Genomic DNA, 23,786 nt, shown 5'->3' on the forward strand with positions numbered 1-23,786 from the left:
AACACCGCCAAGTGCAGCCCTCCCAGTTGACGGAGGGACACCTGGAGCCCCAGAGAGGAAAGTAGCATGCCACAGTCATAACAGTCCACAAAAAGGGGGTGCTGTAGAGACACCGAACACTTCATGCCCGCGTTTCAGGGATTTCATAGCCGCAGACGGCATCCCTGATCCCCATTGGTCCCATTCTCAAGAACCTTGAGCCTGATGATCTTGGAACTTTTTCCTCCCACGGGGCCTTACCAGGTACAAAGTCTTTTCACCCCTGCTGTGTCGCATGGGACCGCGACTTATCCCTGTGAGGCAAGAAGGCAGAGAAGAAAATTGGGCCTCAGAGAACCGGAGACTCAGCCAAGGTCACAGGGCCAGTCAGCGCTGGTGGTGGGAACTCAGGCTGCTGCAGCCAAGGACACTCCTTCCTCTCCATGCTGGGGGCTCCCTGGGAGCACGGCAGACAGTGAGCAACGAGCCCGTGCACTCCGTCGTCCACCGCAGAAAACGCTGCAAGGATATTGCTGACGGGCCGGGCGCGGGGGCTCACGCCTGTAATCCCAGCACTTTGGGAGGCCGAGGCAGGCGGGTCACGAGGTCGGAAGATCGAGACCATCCTGGCTAACACGATGAAACCCCGTCTCTACTAAAAATACCAAAAATTAGCCGGACATGGTGGTGGGCGCCTGTAGTCCCAGCTACTCGGGAGGCTGAGGCAGGAGAATGGCGTGAACCCGGGAGGCAGAGCTTGCAGTGAGACGAGATCGCGCCACTGCACTCCAGCCTGGGCGACAGAGCAAGACTCCGTGTCAAAAAAAAAAAAAAAGAAAAGAAAAGAAAAGAAAAGATATTGCTGACAGCTGGTTGGGATGACAGCTTCATGGTCAAAGTACCATCTCTTAGACGCATAAAACATCTAGCACAAAGGGATTTAAGTAAAACGGCTGTTTTATAAAGGGATATGTGTTTTAAAAGGGGGAAAAGAGTCAAGAGCTTTGTATTTCAAGTTTTGTGGAGCACCAATGGGTACCTCAACAGGTGACCTGCAAAATCCATGGCAGGCAGAGGCTTCTGGGCATGCGGTTCACAGGGCTCATGATTGAAAGGAATTAAGAGAAACTTCAAAGTGAGATTCACGGGGTCTGGATGAGGTAAGAACTCTTGGAAGCATAGGGAAAAATTAAAGCAATTGTCAAGCATGAAGGGGAAGAAAAGATCACCTCTGCAGTCCACGTTCTACCTCTGGACCTAAGGCTTAAAGTTTAAAATAATAATAATAATAACCTGGCATCTTGTTTTGATTTAAGTATGAAAAGCCGGTGTCTGCAGGCGGCTGCTGAGCTAAGCGCTTTTCCTGCTGGGGCACCGTGGAGCTGTTGTCAGAGGTGCGGGATAACTCGAAGCAGAGCCAGCCCAGCTGGGCGGCCGGACCCCCGTTTGAGTTGCAATGCCGGCAGTTAGAAAAAGTGTCTCCAACTTGTAAACACAGCAAATTTGATCTGGAAGTCATTGAGAAAACATAAACACGGAACCTCACGCAGTCCTGTTTACACTCTTCCAGCCCTGGTGAAAGATGAGCTCCTTATGGAAGGATTTTTTTTTTCCAAAGGCGCTTTTCTTTTTAAAATAAAAATCCCAAGAAGTATGTATTGCCACCAAGACCAAAATCCCAACAGAGACCACGAGTGCATGAACAAGTGTTGCTTCAGCAGGTGACAATCATAGTGTCACATTTATTCGAGTTGTCTTCTGCAGTTGCAGAAACTCTGCTTTATCAAAAATCCATTGTTTTTGAGGTGGAAATTAACATGACTGGAACGGCGTCTAAAACCATATCCTTGGTTGAGAATATGGTTTCATAACTATTTCCTGTTTCCCAAATCCATTCTAAATGTGTAGTAACATGAACCAGGAATTTAGTCCAGTATATCTTCATACGACCAATAAATAAATGGAAGGCACAGATGGAGGAAGGGACTTACTTAAGGTCACAGAGAGCTTGTTAGTGTCAGAGACAAAAATAGGACAGCGATTTCCTGGTTTCTACTAGTTCTTTCAGGACATGTCTCTTCCAGGAATTGCTACTGACACTTTTGCCCAAGGGCGTTTATTAAATAGTGTGTTCTGTGTGGAGCAGGTATGGGCTTTATTTCACAAACTTGGCATGAAAGAAATGCCACATGATTTTTCTTTAAAAAAATTAATTCTGCTGAGGAGTCTCCAGTTCACTGGGTGGGTGAAGAAATTGACTAATTCGGTCATTAGTGACTAGGGCCCATCCTGGAAGCAGCATCACCTACATTGTGCGGTGGAAGGGACCAAGGTGTGGAAGTGGAGCAGCCTTAAGAGAGGCTCTGGTTTTCAGTCCCCACCAGCACAATGACCTCCTCACCATACCCCAGGGCCTCTGCCGGCCAGCAGCTCCTCTGCTCCTGGGCTGTGGCCTCTGCAAGGATAGGGTCAGCAGCCTCTCCCTCCCCAGATTCTGCGTCCACCCCTGCAACCCTGGGAGGGAAGAGAGTAAGGCCTGGGATCCCCGCACTGTTCCTCTCTGAAGTCTGGAAGGACGTCTCCAGCCCACTTTTCCCTCCCTGCACCCAAATCTCCTTCTGTGTCCCAGCCTCTCTCACTGCCTCCTTTCCTGGTTAGCATAATCTTCTCTAAAGCAAGGCCAGAATGTAAGAGAGAAGGGTTTTGAGGAACTCCTGCTTTCCGTCCTATCAAGGAATCCTGAGACAAGGAAACCCAAATACCTAACAATAGAATTCTAAATTAATATCTCAATCAATTACTCTGCCACTTAGATATGCCACCTTGACCACGCAGAATTCAAATTCAAATCCTTTTACAATGAAAACAATAATGCATTTGCACGTCTGACCATCTACAGAGCACATTCGTTCAACTCACCAGCTCCTTTCATCCTCAAACACTGCAAAGTAGGTCTTTGTCACCCCATTTTACAGATGAGGAGACCAAGGATTCATGAAGTGATGAGGTATTTGTAGTGACTTTTTCCTGGTCCTGAGAAGAGGATGGCAAGCCCTGTGTTTCAGATACCCCCTGAACTTGGTCAACCCTCAGTAAATCCACACTTGATCCCACTCCATGATATCTTTTCTCTTTCACTGCTAAACGGCCTGATGAACTTAGCTGAAGCTACCAGATACAACTTTCAACATCCTTCTAGGTGGATCCTCGTTGTTTTTGTTCACTCAGCTTCAAGGTTAAAAAAAACAAGCAAAAAAAAAAAGACCAAAGATCATAAACAATCTTGCTACTTTTCATGCCTCCTCAGCATTTGAAAGTTTTGGCAAAAAACCCAGTGAATGATAAAAAGAATTGTTTACATTCTCGAAGGCAATTTGGTTGAGGTCCTTGTGCCCTGGTGCCAAGACTTCTGAGACTCTCGGTCTCTATTTGTCCCCCGCCTGATTTCTGTCCTGATTGGCACCTACAAAAAAGGCTTTGGCATTCAGTGGCGCCAACTTCCTCATCTCCCTGGAGAAACAGGCTACAAACCCACGAGAGGATCCAATGCATCCAGTCACTCAGCAAACATTCATGGAGAAGCTACTGTGTGCCAGGCATTGTTCCAGGCATGGAGGGATACAGTCACAAACAAAACCAAGTCCCTGCCCTAACGGAACTCCTCAGGGGAGGGGGTGCACATTAAATAACCATAATAAATAATATTTCAGATGATGGTATGTGGTATGAATAAATAATATTTCAGATGATGATATGTGGTATGAAGAAAATACAGCAGGGGAAGGGGGATGCTCTTCAGAAGAACAGCCCCTCCAGGAGTGCTTAGGACGCTGGCTGCAAAAATTCACGCACATTTCTAACGCCACTTCATCTCCCTTTAGTAGTTTTGCGAGCAGGCAGGAAATAGGAAATCGTTGGCATAAGTGTGCCCTGAAAGATGTCAAAGGCTGGATCCATCCACAAAAGCAACTGCAACACTGAGGTTGCCTGGCCTGGAGCAGGCGAGCATGGGGGAAGCAGCTCTGGGTGGGTAGTTGGCAGCCCTGACCTTTGTTTCCCGATCTGCCACCCAGGCTCAGTATGCCCTTCCCCATATCCCTTCACCCGATCTGCCACCCAGGCTCAGTATGCCCTTCCCCACATCCCTTCACCCGATCTGCCACCCAGGCTCAGTATGCCCTTCCCCACATCCCTTCACATCGCTGGATCCTCTGTAAAATGGAATATACAGCAGGTTGAGAGTTTCCTCTTTCCAGCCATCATTTTCTCCTAGCGCCATATTCTCTCAGACTTTTATTCCACATAGTCACTTTATTTTGGGTTTAAGTAGTTAATTTAGAAAAATGTCCCAAAGAGAGGGTTGATAGACCCCAGGAGTTCGAGGCAGTGAGCTATGATCGTGCCACTGCATACCAGTCTGGGTGACAGAGCAAGAGCCCCCCCACCCCCCCCAAAAAAAAAAAAGAAGAAGAGAAAAAAAACAACCTAAAGAATGGCTGGCAGACCTGGTCAAAGAGCTGTCTCGGGAAGAAATGATATATTCCTTCTCCAGCAGAAAGTGAGACCAGCCATCTAGAAACCAGAGCTAAGCCTTTGCACACACTTTATCTGAGAGAGAAAATTTAAAAATACAACCAAGAGAATTTTGGAAAAGAACAATAAAGGGAATCTTGTTTACTTACTTACAGCTTACTAGACAGCTATAGGAAGCTGCATATCATTTTGAACCATATTCCTCTGCTGGTGTGGGAAGAAGAAAATAGATCAATGCACTGAAGTGCTTCCATGACAGCTGGTAAACAGCTACTGCCCTGAACTCTCACAGTGCGTCCTGCTGACCTGGCCACCTTGGTCTCTCCCTTGGGACCCCTGACTCCTCACCCACCAGCTATTAAAGACTAACACCTGGGGGCGGGACGCGGTGGCTCACGCCTGTAATCCCAGCACTTTGGGAGGCCAAGGCAGGCGGATCACAAGGTCAGGAGATTGAGACCATCCTGGCCAACATGGTGAAACCCCGTCTCTACTAAAAATACAAAAAATTAGCCAGGCGTGGTGGCAGGCGCCTGTAGTCCCAGCTACTCAGGAGGCTGAGGCAGGAGAATGGCGTGAACCCGGGAGGCGGAGCTTGCAGTGAGCCGAGATCTAGCCACTGCACTGCAGCCTGGGTGACAGAGCGAGACTCCGTCTCAAAAAAAAAAAAAAAAATTAACACATGGCCCAGCAGGACCTCCTTGGACCCTACTTCAGCACCTCAGGCTGACGGCTAACTTCTGCACTGATCTGCAGACATTGCCCGATATGTGTATTATCTCACCGCTGAGCACCCTCAAACTCTCTTAGTGGTGGTTTGTCCTTTGAGAGTATAATTTGGCAGTTTCTATGAATTTTCAAACTATGCACACCCTTCAGCCCAGGAATTCCACTTCCCATCAGTTTTTCTACGAATATTTACATATGCAAAAGCTGTACAACAATTTTTATTGCAGCAGTTTAATAACAAATAAGGAAGCAACAACAGAAATAAGCTTACAGCCCAAAAATGAAGGCTGGTTAAATAATAGTCTATCCACGGAAGACTGCACCAACAGCCTTCAGTGACCCAGCAATTCACTGGCTTAGTGAATGGAGAAGTCCAGAAGAGAGGGGGTTTCGGGTTCCGTTCCATCAGTCCTCTGCTGTGTTGGTTATTCTCTTAGCTCTCCTCTCCTCTGTGTGCCACCTGCATCCTTTGTTGACCTCTCTCATCTATGGTGGTTCCAGGCCTGTCATCCACACACAGCCCAGCTCAGAGTGAGCGGGAGAGATCTTCTCTCCTACAGCTATTCAGAGACATCCTGGGCCGCAGTGGGATTGGAGCCCTCCTGAGCTCATTGCTGAGGTTTACACCTCCCAGGGCCCTCCCCTAGAGCTGCTGATGAGGTCAATCCCACCCAGATTCCAAGGCTGCTCCCCAAGGCGGAAGGGGCAGAGTGGATGGGTATGGGTCGGGGATGGGGGAGCCACCCAGTTTGGCTGGCCAGTATGGTGACCATGTTCTAGAAAGCCACCCTTAACTCACTGGGGGAAAAGGATGTATGGGGAATAAGAGTGGATGGAAGCAGGAAGACAAGTTAGGAGGCGGTTGCTATGGTGCTGACCAGAAAGGGAGACGGGCAGAGAGTCACAGGGTGCGATCGGCAGGGCTTAGGGCTTGGTCACCACCTAAACTGCATTGGGAGTATTGAGAGGGGTTTCAACAAAGCCAAGACCAGGGTGCAAAATTTAAGGGGATGTCGAAAAACTCAGTAATCAAGATACATAATATTTCAATGCAATATTTTTTAAAATAAAAAGGAATCCAAACATTTATGATGTATGAAATACTAAAAATTCACATAAAGACAGAAACTGTGACTGGGCATTTTCCTTTTTGGCCTCAGTCTCTAAAGTGGCTCGGCACGGCACTCACTGGAGGATGACCAACAGGTTACAAAATTGTGGTGCTTAAAAAAAGTTACTGGGATAAAGAATTGGTTTGAGGTAGAAGTTGGTGGGCTTTCTTTTAGCTGCTACAGGTATGTTCAGGCCTCTTAAACTGCAGCTGAGATCCATTTAGTGTAGGAATAAAAAACAGTTCCTGAGATTGTGTGATCAGAGAGGGAAAAGAGAATTTTCGCTCAACACTGAGACCACCTAATTCACTGTCTTCTCAAAATGCGCTGTAATATTCACTTAGCTTCCCCACATCAAATGGAATGTGGCAGGAGGGAATTCCGGGAAAGAGCCCACTGCATAAGCAATGTAAGTCGTGGATTACACCATCCCAGATCTCCAGCCAGGGGCCTAACCTGAGCTGTGACAGTCATATAATTACACTCTTGTATTCATTAATTCACCAACTTCCCCTCCTACTTCTGCTCTTCTTCTTCCTCCTCCTCTCCCTCCTCCTTCTGCTCTTCCTTCCTCCTCCTCCCCCTGCTCTTCTTCTTCCTCCTGCTCCCCCCTTCTCTTCCTCGTCCTCCTCGCATGCGTCAGGATGCGGAGTTAGGAAATGATGATGATGATATTGGTGAGAAGAAGGGGGAGAACAACAACATGCAGGATGAGAAAAAACAAAAAAGCTGAGAAGGAGAAAGGAAAGAAAAGGAAAAAAAGAAGAGAAAAAAGAGAAGGGAAGAAGAGAAGAAACAGGAAACAGTACTAAGTAGAGTCATTGTTTTTTTAAATTATGAACAAACTATTCTATGTGAATTTTAGAGTCGAAAACTGTTCTCCTCCCCCACTGCAGACTACAGCGACAAACCTAGAGAATGATCACAGATTGAGCAACAACTGTTTTCTTTCTTTTTTGTTTGTTTGTTTGTTTGTTTGAGACAGTCTTGCTCTGTCACCCAGGCTGAAGTGCGGTGGCACGATCTCAGCTCACTGCAACCTCCACCTCCCGGGTTCAAGCAATTGTCCTGCCTCAGCCTCCCGAGTAGCTGGGATTACAGGCACCCACCACCACACTGGGCAAATTTTTATGCTTTTCGTAGAGATGATGTTTTACCGTGTTGGTCAGGCTGGTCTCAAACTCCTGACCTCAAGTGATCCTCCCGCCTTGGCCTCCCAAAGTGCTGAGATTACAGGCGTGAGCCACAGTGCCTGGCCTGTTTTCTTTCTTTTTTAGTGAGGAAAGAGGCATAAGTCTAAGAGATATACCTGCCCTCAGCTGATGCTCCCAACAGGTGCCCTAGCTAGAGGAACAGGAGGTGTTTCCTGTGCAGAGGTGGTGTTTGCATCGAGCCTCACAACTCCACAGCTTGGCTCTATAGATGCTCATTAAGTTCCAGGGAATAAAAATATTATAAAGGTTAGTGGCTAAAGGAAATAACTGCTATCTTTTCTTTAAAAGAAAGAAGAAAAAGCCCACCAGTAATGATATCATTGCTACCTTGAATCTCAAATTTAGGTATAACAATGGGTCTTAGACAAAAGACATGGCCTGGAGGACTGAGCCAGATGGAGCAAGTTGGGCAAGGAACAGAGTTTCTTCCAAGTGAGGCCACTGAACTGTGAATGTGGTCACTAGAAGAGGCAACTTCCCTGTAAATTCAAAGTGTGCTGGCATTCCCATCACTAGGGACCACTCCTGGGCCCTGGAGTCAGAATCACCATGATCAGCAGCCCGTGAGGTGGAACTGCTTTCACCCCGTGGCTAGGAATTGTCCCAGTCCCTCAGTGGGCCAAAGAGGAGACCTTTTCAGGGGAAAGCCCGTGCATTTGTGTCTATGCCTTGTTTTGTAAAGAATCGTTTCAAGTTGAAATTATTTTTAATTAAAACAATAAAACCCCACTGGTATAGTTTTGATGGCACAAGTTTGCACTGACTAGTCTTGAACTGGGAGTCAGGAGGCCCCTTCCACTAATTTATTGGGTGACCTTGGGCAGATGACATCCTCTTTCTGGAGCTCAGTTTTCATATCTATAAATTAGGGATGATATAGATAATATAATGTAGACCCCCTTTGGTTCCCAGATATAGACGCATCAATGTGCTATAAGAGATTCACCAAGCAGGAGAAGGAGGTGGGGACAGTTAAGTACATTTTCTGGGTCAACCTCCTGATTCTGATTCCATAGGTCCAGGAACCTCCAGGCTGCTGCTGATAACCAGCCATTAAGTAATCCCTGGACTTAAATGACCTCTGCAGCCCTTTCTGGCCCAGGAAAGCCGGGGACAATCACTAAAAAAAGATATAACTATAAATTACATCAAAGTCATTTGGGGATAGAGCTTTCTTTGAAATGACGTGTAAAAGGAGGGCAGCGCGGCTCAGAGATTTCAGAAATATTTCAAAAAGTAACACTCCTGATAGGAAATACTATCTACATAAATAAATGAAATGAAAAAGGCCTTTTTTTTCCCTTTAATTTCCCCTCAACTTTAACTCCTTAAATTTCTACAGGAAGGGTAACAGGGGCAGAGAGTGAGGGAAGTCTATCTCCCTGACAATTCCCTAAAGTGATTTATTGTGGAGGTCACAATAGTCCCTGTTTGGACCTGTTACAGTTTGCTAAGCTCCACTAAGCTTAGGTAGTAGGAGATCCTTCATTGGAACACTTGTGTTGAAGGGAGGAGGAGGAGGAGAGGAAGAAGCCGCCACTGCTTTGTTTTTAGCTCTAGAGCTGCCTGAGGCCTGGTCTCAATCCTGGGACACGGTTCTGTTTGTCTTCCTTTTCTATTCAAGTTGCTGATGTTCCAGGCGTTCTCTGCCCCATTGCTCAGTGTTTGTTTATGGCAGCCAAGTAGAAAATTGTAATGTCTGTAATTGTTATTGGTTTGCTGATTGTGTGACCACCTGGTTGGCTGGATTCCGGACAAAGGCAGTAAATCCTGCTTTAAGGCTAAAGCTGTGTACTTTAGGAGGAGGAAGAGGAGAAGGGGAAGTTTGGAGGTCTTTTGTTTGTGTCTGTGCCTTGTTTTGTAAAGAATCATTTCAAGTTGAAATTATTTTAATTGAAACAATAAAACCCTGCTAGTACACTTTTGATGGCACAAGTTTGCACTAGAAGAAGGCCTTCTTTTTTTTTTTTGCAATGAAATGCCCTGAAATTGAGGAATTCCTCAATAAACAACTTCATACTTGATTTGCTGTGTATGAAGTTGGATGTGCAGTTTCCAGATGTTTTCCAAAAGGCCCTGTGCTCTGAGGTACACAGACTGCTTCGAGACATCCCTCTGGTCTGCAGAGATCCCACAGCTGTTTTAGTAAAAAATTATTTTCTTTTAATTTCATAAAATGCCACATTCAACATGCACCTTTCATCCAGAGAGACCCTAAGATGTTCAAAGGATTCAGAATTAGCGACCCATCCCCTACCCTCTGGAGTCATACACAGAAAATATTTAACATCTGTACTGCTATACCACCCAAAAGTTTTAAATTGAAGGAAGATGTGTTTCTTGCACTAAATTACCAGAGGAATTTTCAAAGTAGAGCTCAGTTACCTAGGTTGGTCAGGACGTCACTGCAGGAAAACCCTTCTTTTTCTCAAAGCGCTGAGGCGCGATGAATGAGCAACCAGCCCTTTCCCTGCCTCTTGCCCCAGAGATGGCACTGCAGGCGGTACCGGTTTCCAGCACTCAACTGGCTCTGGTGTGGTTAATAATAATAGTATTGGCCAGGCGCCGTGGCTCATGCTGTAATCCCAGCACTTTGGGAGGCTGGAGCGGGTGGATCATCTGAGGTTAGGAGTTCAAGACCAGCCTGGCTAACATGGGGAAACCCAGTCTCTATTAATAATACAAAAATTAGCTGGGCCTGGTGGTGCATGCGTGTAATCCCAGCTATTTGGGAGGCTGAGGCAGGAGAATCTCCTGAACCTGGGAGGCGGAGGTTGCAGTGAGCCGAGATCGTGCCATTGCACTCCAGCCTGGTGACAATAGCAAAACTCCATCTCCAGATTAAAAAATAATAATAACAATAGTAATAATATTACAGCTGGCTTCACTGAGTGCTTACAGTCTACCAGACCTTGAATCCAATGCTTAATGTATATGGTTTCATTTAATTCTAATAAAATAGCAACTTTATTGGGTGAGTATTGTTACTGTCCTGATTTTATAGAAGAAAAAAACTTACAAGGCTCAGAGAGTTAGTTCAGTTGTTGAGTCAAAGATCACAAAGCCAGGAAGTTAGAATTTAAATCCCGTTTTGTCTGCCTTGCATCCATGCTATTTGTCACCATGTCCCACTTGTCCTGATGCTACAAGGTGCTGAGGTATGTCCTCCGACAAATAGTGCATCTTACCAAGAACCCGGTGTGTGCAGAGTTGTGGGTTATGATCAGAAGTGGAGAGGAGGCTGGGTGTGGTGGCTCACGCCTGTGATCCCAGGACTTTGAGAGGCCGAGGAGGGCGGATCACGAGGTCAGGAGTTCAAGACCAGCCTGGCCAACATGGTGAAACCCCATCTCTATTAAAAATACAAAAATTAGCTGGGCGTGACAGTGGGCACCTGTAATCCCAGCTACTCAGGAGGCTGAGGTGGGAGAATCACTTGAGCCCAGGAGGAGGAGGATGCAGCGAGCCAAGATCGCGCCACTGCACTCTAGCCTGGGCAACAATAGCAAAACTCCATCTCAAAAAAAAAAAAAAGTGGGTAAGAGAATAACCAAGAATAACCAAGAATAACCAATCCTACCCTTACAGAGCTTACTAACAAGGTGACCCATTGCCCCAGTGTGTGCCTCAGACCGTCCCAGCTTTAGCATCCAGAGTCCCGTATGCCAGGTATGGGAGGCGGAATTCTAGGATGACTCTCCAAATTCCCTACTGCACATACACCTTCTCCAGTTATTGAATCAAACCTTAAATCTAGGTGTTATTATGAAGGGAGTTTACAGATGTAACTAAGTTGACTTTAAGATAGGGGGATTAGCCAGGTGGGCCTGACTTTATCAGATGAGTCTTTTAAACCTGGGTCTAGAGGTCAGAGACATAAGGCAGAGAGATTTGAAGTCTGATTCCACACGGCTTTGAAAATGGAGGGGGTCACACAGCACGGAATGTGGTTGACCTCATCCAGTGCTTACAGTACCCTGGTCCTATTATGCCCTTCTTAGACATGAGGAAACTGAGGCACGGAAGGTTCAGCTTCAGGTCCAAGGTCATATAGCCAGCGCGGAACAGCACTGAGATTGGTGGTCAGACCTTGGAGCCACAAGTCCGTGGGAGGCCCCTGCACACAGGCGGAGCTGGGAGTGACCTCCAGCTGACAGCTGGTAAGGAGATGGGGGCCTCAGCCATATAGTGCAAGAAACTGCATCCTGCCCACCGCCTGTGTGAGCCTGAAAACGGATTTACTCAGCCTGGCAGACACCTGAATTTCGGCTCTTTTTAGACCCTGAGCAAAAAGCCCAACCACGCCTCGCTTGGACTTCTGACTGACATATAGAACTGTGAGCTAATATGGGTGTTGATCTAAGCTGTCAAGTTTGTTATGCAGCAATAGAAATGTAATATACTAGGAAACCCTTCAGCCCCGGGCAGACTGGAACAGTTGGTCACCCCAGATGAGCACAGACCATGTGACCCCTGTGTGTCATGGGAGGCAGCTAGAGGGTGGGATAGGACAGGAGGGAAAGGGCTGAAGGCACTTTAGGAGGAGGACACCAAATAAGCAAAGACAGAGAGACAGGAATACGCAGGGATGTCAACCAAGATGCCAGCAAGGTGCCAACTGAGAGGGTTAAGTGCATAGGGGCAGAGGCTTTGCAACTTCAGCATTTGAAAAGGGTCTGTTCTGGGGTCATGAAGATGGCAATGATATTAGCAGCCTGTGCTTACAGTTTTTTCGTTTCTGTCATTCTGGCACTGATCCAGTCCAACCTCTTCCAGGAACTCTGAACTCCCTGAAGGCAGGGCTGTGGCTTACCCAGCTGTGCAGCCCTAGCACCTAGCACAGAGTCTGGGGCGGCATCATTTTGTATTCAGGAAGTGCTCAATCAAGACATGGATGAATGGCCTATTGTGGACAAAATAATACCACTTTAGGACAAACTTGAGGCCGTGACATCCCAGGGAATGCTAAGAGGTTGAAGGGTTGACCTGCCATGCTGCCACCCCGCCTCCCTTGGGATCTGACCCTCCGCCTGTGTGCAGGGGCCTCCCACGGACTTGTGGCTCCAAGGTCTGACCACCAATTTCAGTGCCGTTCCACGCTGGCTATATCACCCTGGACCTGAAGCTGAACCTTTCGTGCCTCAGTTTCCTCATGTCTAAGAAGGGCATAACAGGACCAGGGTACTGTAAGGACTGGATGAGTCAATACGACATGTCAAGCTCTTAGAATGCAGCTTGGCGTGAATTTCAATGTTTAGTTGTTATTATCGTTAATTTTTACTTTATTTTTTATTTTTATGTATTTATTATTTTTTTTTTTTGAGACAGAGTTTCACTCTTGTTGCTCAGGCTGGAGTGCAATGGCGCGATCTCGGCCCACTGCAACCTCCACCTCCCGGGTTCATGCGATTCTCCTGCCTCAACTTCCTGAGTAGCTGGGATTACAGGCATGCGCCACCACACCCTGCTAATTTTAGTATTTTTAGTAGAGACGGGGTTTCACCATGTGTGCCAGGCTGGGCTTGAACTCCTGACCTCAGGTGATCCACCCGCCTCAGCCTCCCAAAGTGCTGGGATTACAGGCATGAGCACCGCTCCCGGTCTAACTTGTATTTTAAATAGTGATGATGGGTCTCCTTCGACCAGAACTTTAGCTGGGCTCCTCTGGGTCCTCTGCTTGACTAGGCCCTACCTTGGCTTCCTTCCCTGTCCTTATAGAAGCCAGTCTGAGCAAGAATCCTGCCAAGTCAGTTTAGCAAAAGTCTCCCACTTTTGGTATCTCATCACCCTGGCCGGCCTTCAGCAAGACTCCTGTTAAGTCAAGTCAGCCAGAAACCCCTTATCTGTGATATTTCCTCTTAGTAATTTCCCATCCATTGACCCCCACCCTGCTTCTTGGTTAGAAGTCTCCACCTGTCCTCGTTGCAGCTGGAGTTGAGTCCCACCTCTCTCCCCAGCTGCAAGACCCCGTTGCTGAAGTCCCTGCACCCCTTGTCTCCACGGCTCCCCTTGAAGAAAGTTGACCTTAGCATCTTGAACAAGTGTTTGAATAAATTTCTTTCTTTAACAATAGTAATGACATATTTGCTGCCAAAATTCAGATGGAGACACTTCGTGCACCCTGCCCCAGCCCAAGGGCGTTTTCATTTTACTCAAAGATTCTTGAAACCACAAAAACCTTTTAGGACCCAACGGGAAGACTGCCCAATGGAGGTGGGTTCGACAGAGACCTCCCCAGGATGAGTAAACCTGGCCCTCTAGCTGGGTGCTCCTCAAAACACACCAGCCTTGCTGCACCTGGAGTTGTTGAGAACTGCAGAATCTCAGTCCTCTTCCAGGCAGCCTGAGTCAGAATCTGTATGTTCACAGGGTCCCCCGGGAAAGGCACCGGTCTAGACGAATTCCTATCAGCCCTGCATCTGGGCAACGCGGAATCTCTCTGACCTTTACTTACGATTTGCTTTAAAAGTTAAGTGTTTAAGCACATAGGCGAGCCAGACCAGAGAACTCTCAGTTGGCAAGAGATAACCTCATTTCCAGGGACAGCTGGCTCTCTACGTGTTTGAACAAACTGGCATTATCCAAGAGCTCTAATGGTCTGAAGTCAGGCTTAAAACTCAGCAAAAATAAACTTTCCAGGAAATTTTTGGCACACCCAGTTTCCAAACCCATCATCTCAGGAATGTTATCCAAGCAGTGGCCTCTTTCCCCACATCTAACTCTATTTCCAGTTGGGACAGTTCTTTCTCTGGCCTTGAACTGACAAAACACACACAAATGAGGGAAAACAGGGAGGCCACATTTAGTGTGGGCCTTTAGATAAGTCTCCGGGAAAGTCCATAATCTCATTTTGGCACTATTAGTGTTTGGCTTCTTAAGGCAAATGTTATTTTAAAAGAATGTCTTAAACCTGAGGGACGTGTGCTCTTGGTCACTGGGGTTCAAAGAGGTACACTTGTGAGGGCGAGAAGTAGAAACCACCGTCTGTCCTTCTTGCGGCTGTTGATGCCATGTTCTTTGTTGCCTCACTTCTCCCTTTTTTTTTTTTAATTTTATTATTATTATACTTTAAGTTTTAGGGTACATGTGCACAATGTGCAGGTTAGTTACATATGTATACATGTGCCATGCTGGTGTGCTGCACCCATTAACTCGTCATTTTGCATTAGGTATATCTCCTAAAGCTATCCCTCCCTGCTCCCCCCACCCCACAACAGTCCCCAGAGTGTGATGTTCCCCTTCCTGTGTCCATGTGTTCTCATTGTTCAATTCCCACCTATGAGTGAGAATATGCGGTGTTTGGTTTTTTGTTCTTGCGATAGTTTACTGAGAATGATGATTTCCAGTTTCATCCATGTCCCTACAAAGGACATGAACTCATCATTTTTATGGCTGCATAGTATTCCATGGTGTATATGTACATTTTCTTAATCCAGTCTATCATTGTTGGACATTTGGGTTGCTTCCAAGTCTTTGCTATTGTGCCTCACTTCTCAAGTGAGCGGAACACCCAAATCTTCCTTGAGGATGAAAACTCAAATTAGCCACGTCTGTTGAACCTGTTTACAAATCCTTCTGAATGGACTGTTGTGTGATAGCCACTATAGGAATATGAGAAGGCACGATTCCTTCACTCAGGAAACTCCCAGCCTAGAAGGGACATCTTCTGTTTGACTTATTATTATTATTTTAAGACAGTGTCTCATTCTGTTGCCCAGGTTGGAGTACAGTAGCGCTATCTCGGCTCACTGCAACGTCCGCCTCCTGGACTCAAACGATCCTCCTGCCTCAGTCTCCTGAGTAGCTGTGATTACAGGCATGCACCACCGCACCTGCTTAATTTTTATATTTTTCGTAGAGACAGGGTTTTGCCATGTTGCCCAGGCTGGTCTCAAACTCCTGAGCTCAAGCAATCTGCCTGCCTCAGCCTCCCAAAGTGCTGGGATTACAAGCGTGAGCCGCTGCTCCTGGCCTCTGTTTGCGTCTTTAGCTGCACATCTCCAGATGTTTGTAACGCATCAGTCAGGGTCTATCCTAGTAACCTACTGCTCCCTAACAAATCACTCCAATTTCAGCAGCTTAAAATACCAACCATCGCGTTAGTATCTTTCATAGTATCTGTGGAAGAGGATTTTAAGAAAGGCTCAGCTGGGTAATTCTGGCTCTGGTCTCGCCTGTAGTCACAGTCAGATAGAGATGCTGAAGCAGCCTGAGCCTCCCAGGAATCCCTCTCTTCATGTGGTCTCTCCGCATGGGCTCACTTGAGCTTCCTCAGAGTATGGCGGTCTCAAGTCAAGTGTTTTCATGACGGTTCACCCTTCATTGTTTATGACTAGTTCAGAAGTCACAGTGTCTGAACTTTTCTTATTTTATTTATTTATTTATTTTTAATTGAGACAGAGTCTCGCTCTGTCACCCAGGCTGGAGTGCAGTGGCATGATCTCGGCTCACTGCAACCTCTGCCCCCTGGGTTCAAGCAATCCTCTCACCTCACTCTCCTGAGTAGCTGGGACTACAGGTGCATGCCACCACGCCCAGCTAATTTTTGTATTTTTAGTAGAGACGGGGTTTCACCATGTTGGCCATGGCTGATTTCAAACTCTTGAGCACAAGTGATCCACTGGCCTCAGTCTCCCCAAGTGTTGGGATTGCAAGCATGAGCCACCGCGCCCAGCCATCACTTCCTCTTGAGGGTGAATTGTCCCAGTCACACTGTAAGCAGAGCTATAGGATGGGGGATATTGTAACCATCATTGGTAAATATAGTCTGCAACAGGTTTCCAGCAGAAAACAGAAGTCACATTTGAATTAGGATATTTCAGGGAAAGGTTAATGAAAGCACTAGTTATGAAGATATAAGCAGAGTGGAGAGAAACAAGAGATACAGTTTCTGATATGGTTTGGATTTGTGTCTCTGCCCAAATCTCATGTCAAATTGAAATCCCCCGTGTTGGAGGTGGGGACTGGTGGGAGGTGCTCGGCTCATGGGGGTAGATTTCCCCCTTGCTGTTCTCATGATAGTGAGTGAGTTCTCATGACATGTGGTTGTTTGCAAGTATGTGGCAGCTCCCCCCACTTTCCTCCTGCTCCAGCCATGTAGGATGTATCTGCTTCCCCTTGGCCTTCTGCCATGATTGTAAGTTTCCTGAGGCCTCCCAGCCATGCTTCCTGTACAGCCTGTGGAACTGTGAGTTGACTAAACTTCTTTTCTTTATAAACTACCCAATCTCAAGTAGTTCTTTATAGCAGTGCAAGAATGGACTGACACAGTATCCCAAGGCTGCTGATAACATAGAAATTGTCACCATCTCCATTTGGAAGGAACAAGACAAGGTTACAGGAACTCTGAAGGAGAGAAGAGTTCAGGGACAGCTCGCTTGAGAGGAACAGTCAGAGGGGACTATCCAGCAAGGAGGCAGCCAGGGAATAAAGGCCCTTAACTCACCCCCACCCCAGTCTCCTGCCAGGGCTTCTCACTGACTGAGCCTAACAGGAGGCCCAAAGCCTAAAGCCCACACTGATAAGACTCTGGGGAAGAGAGCAGAGTGGAGAGTAGAGAGGACATCTAGAGAAGCAAACAGGAGACACATAGCATAAGAAATACCTACAATCTAATGCCAATAGATTATAAAGTGTATTTCTACAAGAGGGAGATTTTAAACTATTTTCATGCAAAGTCCCAGAAATAGAAACATGATGTGGGAGAGAAGTTCACATCACCAGTAGTCTTCTGGATGTCTGGAGCCCACTTTATCTTGAGGCTTAAGAGTAGACTCCACAGTAGAGTCCTTGGCTGTTGGAAAGGAAGTTGTCCACATGAGCAATATAGACAGAGACTACTCAGTCTTTGGGCACTGATAGGAGTTGTTCCTGATGGTGATGGTCCAACAGGAAGCGTGGTTGCTGTGGCTCCTGGACACCAGTGATGGGGTAGTGGGATGGAGACTTGCTGGGAGGGATCCTGGGGGGCTTGTGGGCACCACTCTGGCTGCCAGTGCCAGCCAGTGCCCAGCAGAGCAAAGCCTGCATGATCCCTGGAGGCTGATTCTTCTGTCTGAGTGGTCCCTCCAGGCCTGGTTCTCTCATACTGTCTGAGTGGTCCCTCCAGGCCTGGTTCTCTCATCCTGAACACCACAAGCTTCTCTCCCTCATCATATTCCCTCCAACTCTCCTTTCCCCCAGTCTGGTTAATCCTTATCTCATCTGGGGTAAGAAGGCCCAGTTTTCAATCTATTCTTCCAAATCCATTATTTATTGTATAAAATGTAAACTCAAAAGTCCAGGTTCTTGTAAGTCCACATCCTTGATTTCTGCAACTCAAAAGCCAAGGCCTGGTGTGTTTATTCTCTGCATTCTGCACAGGTGTGCCTTCCTCGGGGTATATTGTATGGAATTTGGCCCTAGCAGTTTTGGGGGTCGGAGAAGATCACAAGGCTTGTGGCGGAGTGGGTGGAGGGGTGTCCCAGAGGAAAAGTATCGTCTATCTCCACTCAAACAAAGAGGTGTAAGAACACAAAAGATCACTTATGGAGTGTCCAAGAAAGATTTCATCTGATACTTTGAAAAATCAATAGACTTTCAACAGAAAGAGATGAAAGAAGCATTCTGAACAGACAGAAGATCATGAACAGGAAAATTAAAGCATATCAAGAAAAGATGTAGTTTCATTTGTAAGTTGTACAGGAGTATTTGCATGTAGGGGAAAACAATTCTAGAAGAGGTCAGGTCATGAAGGACCTAGACGGAAAGCTTTCTTTTTGCATTTAAGAAGCCACAGAGGCCGGGTGCAATGGCTCACGCCTGTAATCTCAGCACTTTGGCAGGCAGTTGAGGGCGGATCACGAGGTCAGGAGATGGAGACCATCCTGGCTAATGTGGTGAAACCCTGTCTCTACTAAAAATACAAAAAATTTTCCAGGAGTGGTGGCACATGCCTGTAGTCTCAGCTACTTAGGCTGAGGCAGGAGAATCGTTTGAACCCGGGAGGCAGAGGTTGCAGTGAGCCGAGATTGTGTCACTGCACTCCAGCCTGGGTGACAGAGCGAGACTCCGTCTCAAAAAAAAAAAAAAAAAAGAAGCCACAGAACGCTGAGTACTGAAGGTTGCTGGCAGGGTATTCAGGTCTGAGCAGCATGTTAGAAAGATGAATGCAGTGTACAGGACACAGAGACTATGGTTAGAGTGAGGGACATTCACTGAGGCCTGAACGAGGAGTCTCCTGCTGCTGGCTTCTCTCACTGTCTGGCCTGCAAGTTCGCATGTGCATTTGGAGTCCCTCCCTGACTCCAAACCTGTGTCTCCAACTCCCTGGAAGGTGTGTCCACTCGCGGGGCCCACAAGCTCCTTAACTCAATGCACCCAAAATGAAACTCTCCAAACCCTCTCCTCCACTGCCCCCGTGCTCCCCCAGACAGCTCACCTTCTTGGACTTCCCCTCACCCACTTCCTCCTTTGCAACCTCATGGTCTCCTTCATCTCTCCACGCTCGTCACAGCCAGATCCCTTAGAGTTTCCCTTGTATTTTTTCTTTTTCTACTAGACCCTTCTCCTTTCTAAGTCCTCTCTGGAACCCCCCAAGGTCAAGACATCAGCACCTCTGCCTCCAACATGTGCCACAGCCCGCTAATTGGTCTGCCTACTGCTGAACTCTCTCTGCTACCCCCCATTCTCCATAGTTCAACCACAATCTTTTCTAAACACAAAATCTCATCATGCTATTTCCCCCTTTAAAGACTTTTCTGACCGTTTCATGGTCTATAGCACCAAGAAAAACCTCTTTTGTTGGCATTTAAAGCTTTCATAAGCTGACACCAGACACTCTTCCAGCTTTGTCCATTGCTGCTCCCCCTGACATTGCAGCAGAAACTGAGGGGATCTTGGCTCTCAGCATCCAGCTGCCACACCCTTCCAGGAAGCAGCCTGTGATGGGATTAGGCCCCAGATGTTTACACTAGAGAGAAAGGGCCTTAAGACAAAAGGAAATCCTGGATGTGTGTCTGTTCAGGACAGAGGTGGGAGGAAAGCGAGAATGAGAATGTATCAGTTAGTTCTTCAAAAAGTCTGCTTGCCACCCAGTCCTATGCTACCAAAGAAATGTTTGAATTGTTATATGTTAAAGACTGAAAAAGGGCCTTCAAAAGAAACAACACATTTGGATAATATCTTATTCTGCAAGGGGCTGCCCTGGTGAGTGCTCAAGCTGGGGTCTTTACAGGTTCCTCTGTGACACAAAGTGGAGATTCCCAATTCTTCCTCTTACAAGACGCAAAAAGCTTCAAGGAGAAGCTTGGGAGGACAGCTGAGCTGGCGAGCGTTAATAAACACTGGAACCAATGGGCCAGCGGAATTGGTGGATCATAGCTAATTAAACTGTTTTTTCTTCTCTGACCCCCTGGCTCTATTAAACATAGATGATCTTAGTGAATTAAGTTTTGGCTGACTTGATGGTGTCCTGTCAGCAGCAGCAGCACTGGAGTCAGGAGGCCTGGGTTCTAATTCCGGGTGTGTCTCTAACTAGCTCCACGACCTTGGGCAGTCCCAGCCTTTCTCTCAGCCTCTGCTTCCCTATTTACCTAACAAAAGGACTGGACTCATTTGCACAGGCCTCTAAATACTCAGTTCTATATTTCTTCAATTTCATACCAATACAAATATTTCCCCTCTTTCTATTTATCTACCTCTGAATTTTACTTTTTGAATGACTTCAGTCCTCATCTTCTCTTTATTTTTTCTCCTCATCCTATCTGCTCAGCCAAGCAAGGCATAGCACTTGTCCAGCCATTTTCCAGACTCTTGACTTGGGTTTACAGAGTACGTTCTGCCCACTGCATGTGTTCAGGAGTTGAGCCTCCTTGGCTAGGACTCCAGCAGCCAACAGACCTTGGCATCTGCGCTGCCTAGGACACTTTCCAGGGCCGAAGAAGGATGAGACCTTCAGACTCTGATGCATGTGATGCTATCCTGTTACCAAAACTGTAGCATCCTTCAACAATGTTACCTGTTTGGATGATCCTATGTATGAAATTAATTTTTCAAAAGGGAAAGTAAATTCAAAGATAGGGTAAGCAGTGACCAAACTAAGGCCATGCCAGTCATTCTGACAGGAAGGAAATCCTTCCAGTCTTTGCAGTCTTGGCACAGCTCAACATTTTGTATCTGCTTTCAGGATGTTCTTGGATCCCTTGAAGTCAATAAACCTCATAATAAGGGCCTTGAGATATATATACATACATATGAAACAAAGGTCAGGATTTTTCTCCTCAAAGACAAAACATCTGGATGAATGGCTGAGTTTTCCACTTAAGAAATGATGTCTTGGCCGGGCACGGTGGCTCACACCTGTAATCCCAGCACTTTGGGAGGCATAGGTGGGTGGATCATGAGGTCAAAAGTTCAAGACCAGCCTGGCCAAGATGGTGAAACCCCGTCTCTACTACAAATACAAAAATTAGCCAGGAGAGGTGGCAGGCAGCTGTAATCCCAGCTACTGAGGAGGCTGAGGCAGGAGAATTGCTTGAACCCTGGGGCACAGAGTTTGCAGTGAGCCGAGATCGTGCCACTGCACTCCAGCCTGGGCGACAGAGTGAGACTCCATCTCAAAAAAAAAAAAGAAATGTTGGCTGACTTCACCTTAGCTCAGATGGAGTGATGAGCTACCCAGTCCCAACTTCCCAGGCACCCTTGAACAAGGGGCCAGGGGTACATGGCAGCCTTGTCTCTATCAACCTGTGAAGTTGCTTATGGTGTTAAAATGTTGCCAGAGATCAAGGATGTCCAGACAAACACCAGCTAAATCTAAAAAGAAGTCAGAAAACTAATACAAGCTTAAAATACCAATTTCAGCACAGATATGCTTATCTTTTAGACTTACTTTATTTACCCACCTCACATGACATGGGGAAGAATTCCTGAAGAACGTTTTCCCACTGATTGTTTAAAATCCTTCCTCTCAATAAAGTCCTTTCTAAGTACACATGGTTCCGTTTCATTCTCTGGCTCATCCTCTTAATCACCTGCCTTTAGCGTCTCTAATTTACTTATTTGACAGTATTTATTGAGCATCTGCTATGGGCCAGGCACCAGGTTAAGATGGCAGGAAGCCGAATGAGACACGGTCCTGACCTGCGAGGGCTCGTGGTTGAGTCACGAAAAACTACACTGAAAGAATGGCAAATAGCGAGATGTGTGCCAGGAAAAGACACGTGGCAAGTAAACTCACTCCTGGAGGAAATCAAGAAAGAGAATGGTTGGGTTTTCTCAATAATCCATAGACTATCAGGGCCAGAAGAGACTTTACAGATTATCTGTTCTAACCCCCTCATTTTATAAATGGAAAACAGAGAGGGGAAGAGCCACACAGTTTTAAAGCTGGGGCCAACGCGTAATGAATTCTTTCTCTTTTCCTGGCTGATAATTTGTTGTGTGTCTCTCAAATTGTCTCTTGAGGTAGGTAAAATAGAAATCATCAGTATACCACTGAAAGAAATCTATTTTGTTTTCTGACTAAAAATCTACAAGATATACCTCATCAACATTTGTTTGAAAATGTGACTATTCTTTGAAGATTACTATCATCGATTCACATTCAGTGCCTTGCCTGGGTATTTTTAAGTTGTTCCTTATTCCAGCATTCCTACCACTAGTCTCAGCTATCACAGTCCTTTATAGAAAACGTCATCATGATTCTTGTTGTTTCTCTACATTTACATAGCACCTCGGAGTTTAAGAAGCATTTTCAGATCCATTGCTTCCACTGGGGGAGTCAAGTTGTTGGCTTGATAGCTTTAGAGGGACATGACAAGTAGAAGGAGGTTTGGAAAGGAGCAAAGCACGTGGTGACAGTGCTGGGGAACAAGACCTACAAAGCCGGGTGACAGGAGTAGGACGCCTGGGACTGCTCTTGTGGGGCCAGATCACCAGGGGAGGGCTAGGGAATGGATTTCTAGTCCATGAAGTCTAGTGAGCGGAAAGGAAACACATCAATAAACACATCAATAAACATACTGAATAATGCCTGTGTGCAGGGCACCATGCTAAGTGGATTCAAAGATGAGTGATCAACGTACCCCCTTCAAAGAATGTTTTGGATTTCTGTTCAATCTCCTTAAGCCACCGGGAGTGGAAGGCATGAGTGAGCAGAAGCCACTGAGCAGAGAGAAGTGGATGTACCAAGCTCCTGCTGTGTGGCCTCGGCTTCTCCAGGAGGTTTGGACTTAACCCCTATTAGTGACTCAGGCTAAGGCTCTTCATGGAAGAATGGGCTGCCTCCCCGGGACTTGCTGGAAGGTGACATGGGTGCATTTAGGCAGAGTGGAGGGTGATCTGTCACGGAAATGGTAGACCCTGGTCCTTTCCCTTGAACATCTCAGGTTGAACACTGGGGCGGTGCTTCATTATGAGCCATTAAGTGGATTCTCATGAGTGAGTTTCTGTTGGCCTTATAGACAATGGGGTTTTAATCATGTTTATCTAGGCTAAGAGAGGACAAGAGAACCATTTGTGTACTTTCAAAGAATCAGGGCCCCATGGCTGAGTGCTGCTGGGGACGTAGAGGAGCAGCTAAGAGAGCCCAGAGGATGATCACGGAACTGGGACAGGGAGCGCCCAAAACCATGTGAGAGGCCATGGGTGGGGGGTGACTGAGAAACAAGCTACTAACCACCTTGAAATACATGAAGGGTAAGAAGAAACTCCCACAGGACTCTCAAATCAGAATGTAAAGGTAATGCAGGGAGGGGAATGGACGCAGGAGCTGGAGGAGTATAGAATTGTTACAAAGCAACCGTGAAGATGAAGACTTTGGAAAGGAAGGACACATTGGAACTAGCCTCACACAGGTGTTAGACTAGTCGTGGGAACTTCAGACCCACTACAGTGCTGCATGCTTCTGGATAGCAGGTCTTCTTGCTAATTTAAAATAGCCCCTGGCTCTCTCACCAGATTGGCCACAACCTCCCAGCAGACCCCCTGGCCTCCCTGTGCTGGCCCCAACTACACTCTCATGCTCCTTTCCCACTTCTCCCACCTCATCTTGCAGATTCCCTCCTCCATAGCCTCTTTCTGGATCTCTCCCACGGATGTCTCATCCTTCAAGGCTCACCTAACGTGCTACCTCCTCCAGGAAGCCTTTCCTGATCCATGCCACCAGATGGTACATGCTCCCTGCGGGAACCCATATAGCACATTGTGCCTCTTTATGGCACTTTCACTTCCTCCTGCA

The 23,786-nt window shown here is 46.7% G+C and overlaps 2 annotated features.

The window, feature by feature from the left end:
* Positions 1-914: an enhancer, noted in NCBI's record as "H3K4me1 hESC enhancer chr3:193893180-193894093 (GRCh37/hg19 assembly coordinates)". NCBI's record gives its function as "activates a minimal SCP1, AML or CMV promoter by ChIP-STARR-seq in naive H9 embryonic stem cells {active_cell/tissue: H9 hESC(naive)}" and the evidence as "EXISTENCE:reporter gene assay evidence [ECO:0000049][PMID:30033119]".
* Positions 18,345-18,424: an enhancer, noted in NCBI's record as "active region_21017". NCBI's record gives its function as "activates an Ori minimal core promoter by ATAC-STARR-seq in GM12878 lymphoblastoid cells {active_cell/tissue: GM12878}" and the evidence as "EXISTENCE:reporter gene assay evidence [ECO:0000049][PMID:35858748]".

The sequence above is a fragment of the Homo sapiens genome, chromosome 3 (assembly GCF_000001405.40).
Source record: "Homo sapiens chromosome 3, GRCh38.p14 Primary Assembly".
Classification (NCBI taxonomy): Eukaryota; Metazoa; Chordata; class Mammalia; order Primates; family Hominidae; genus Homo; species Homo sapiens.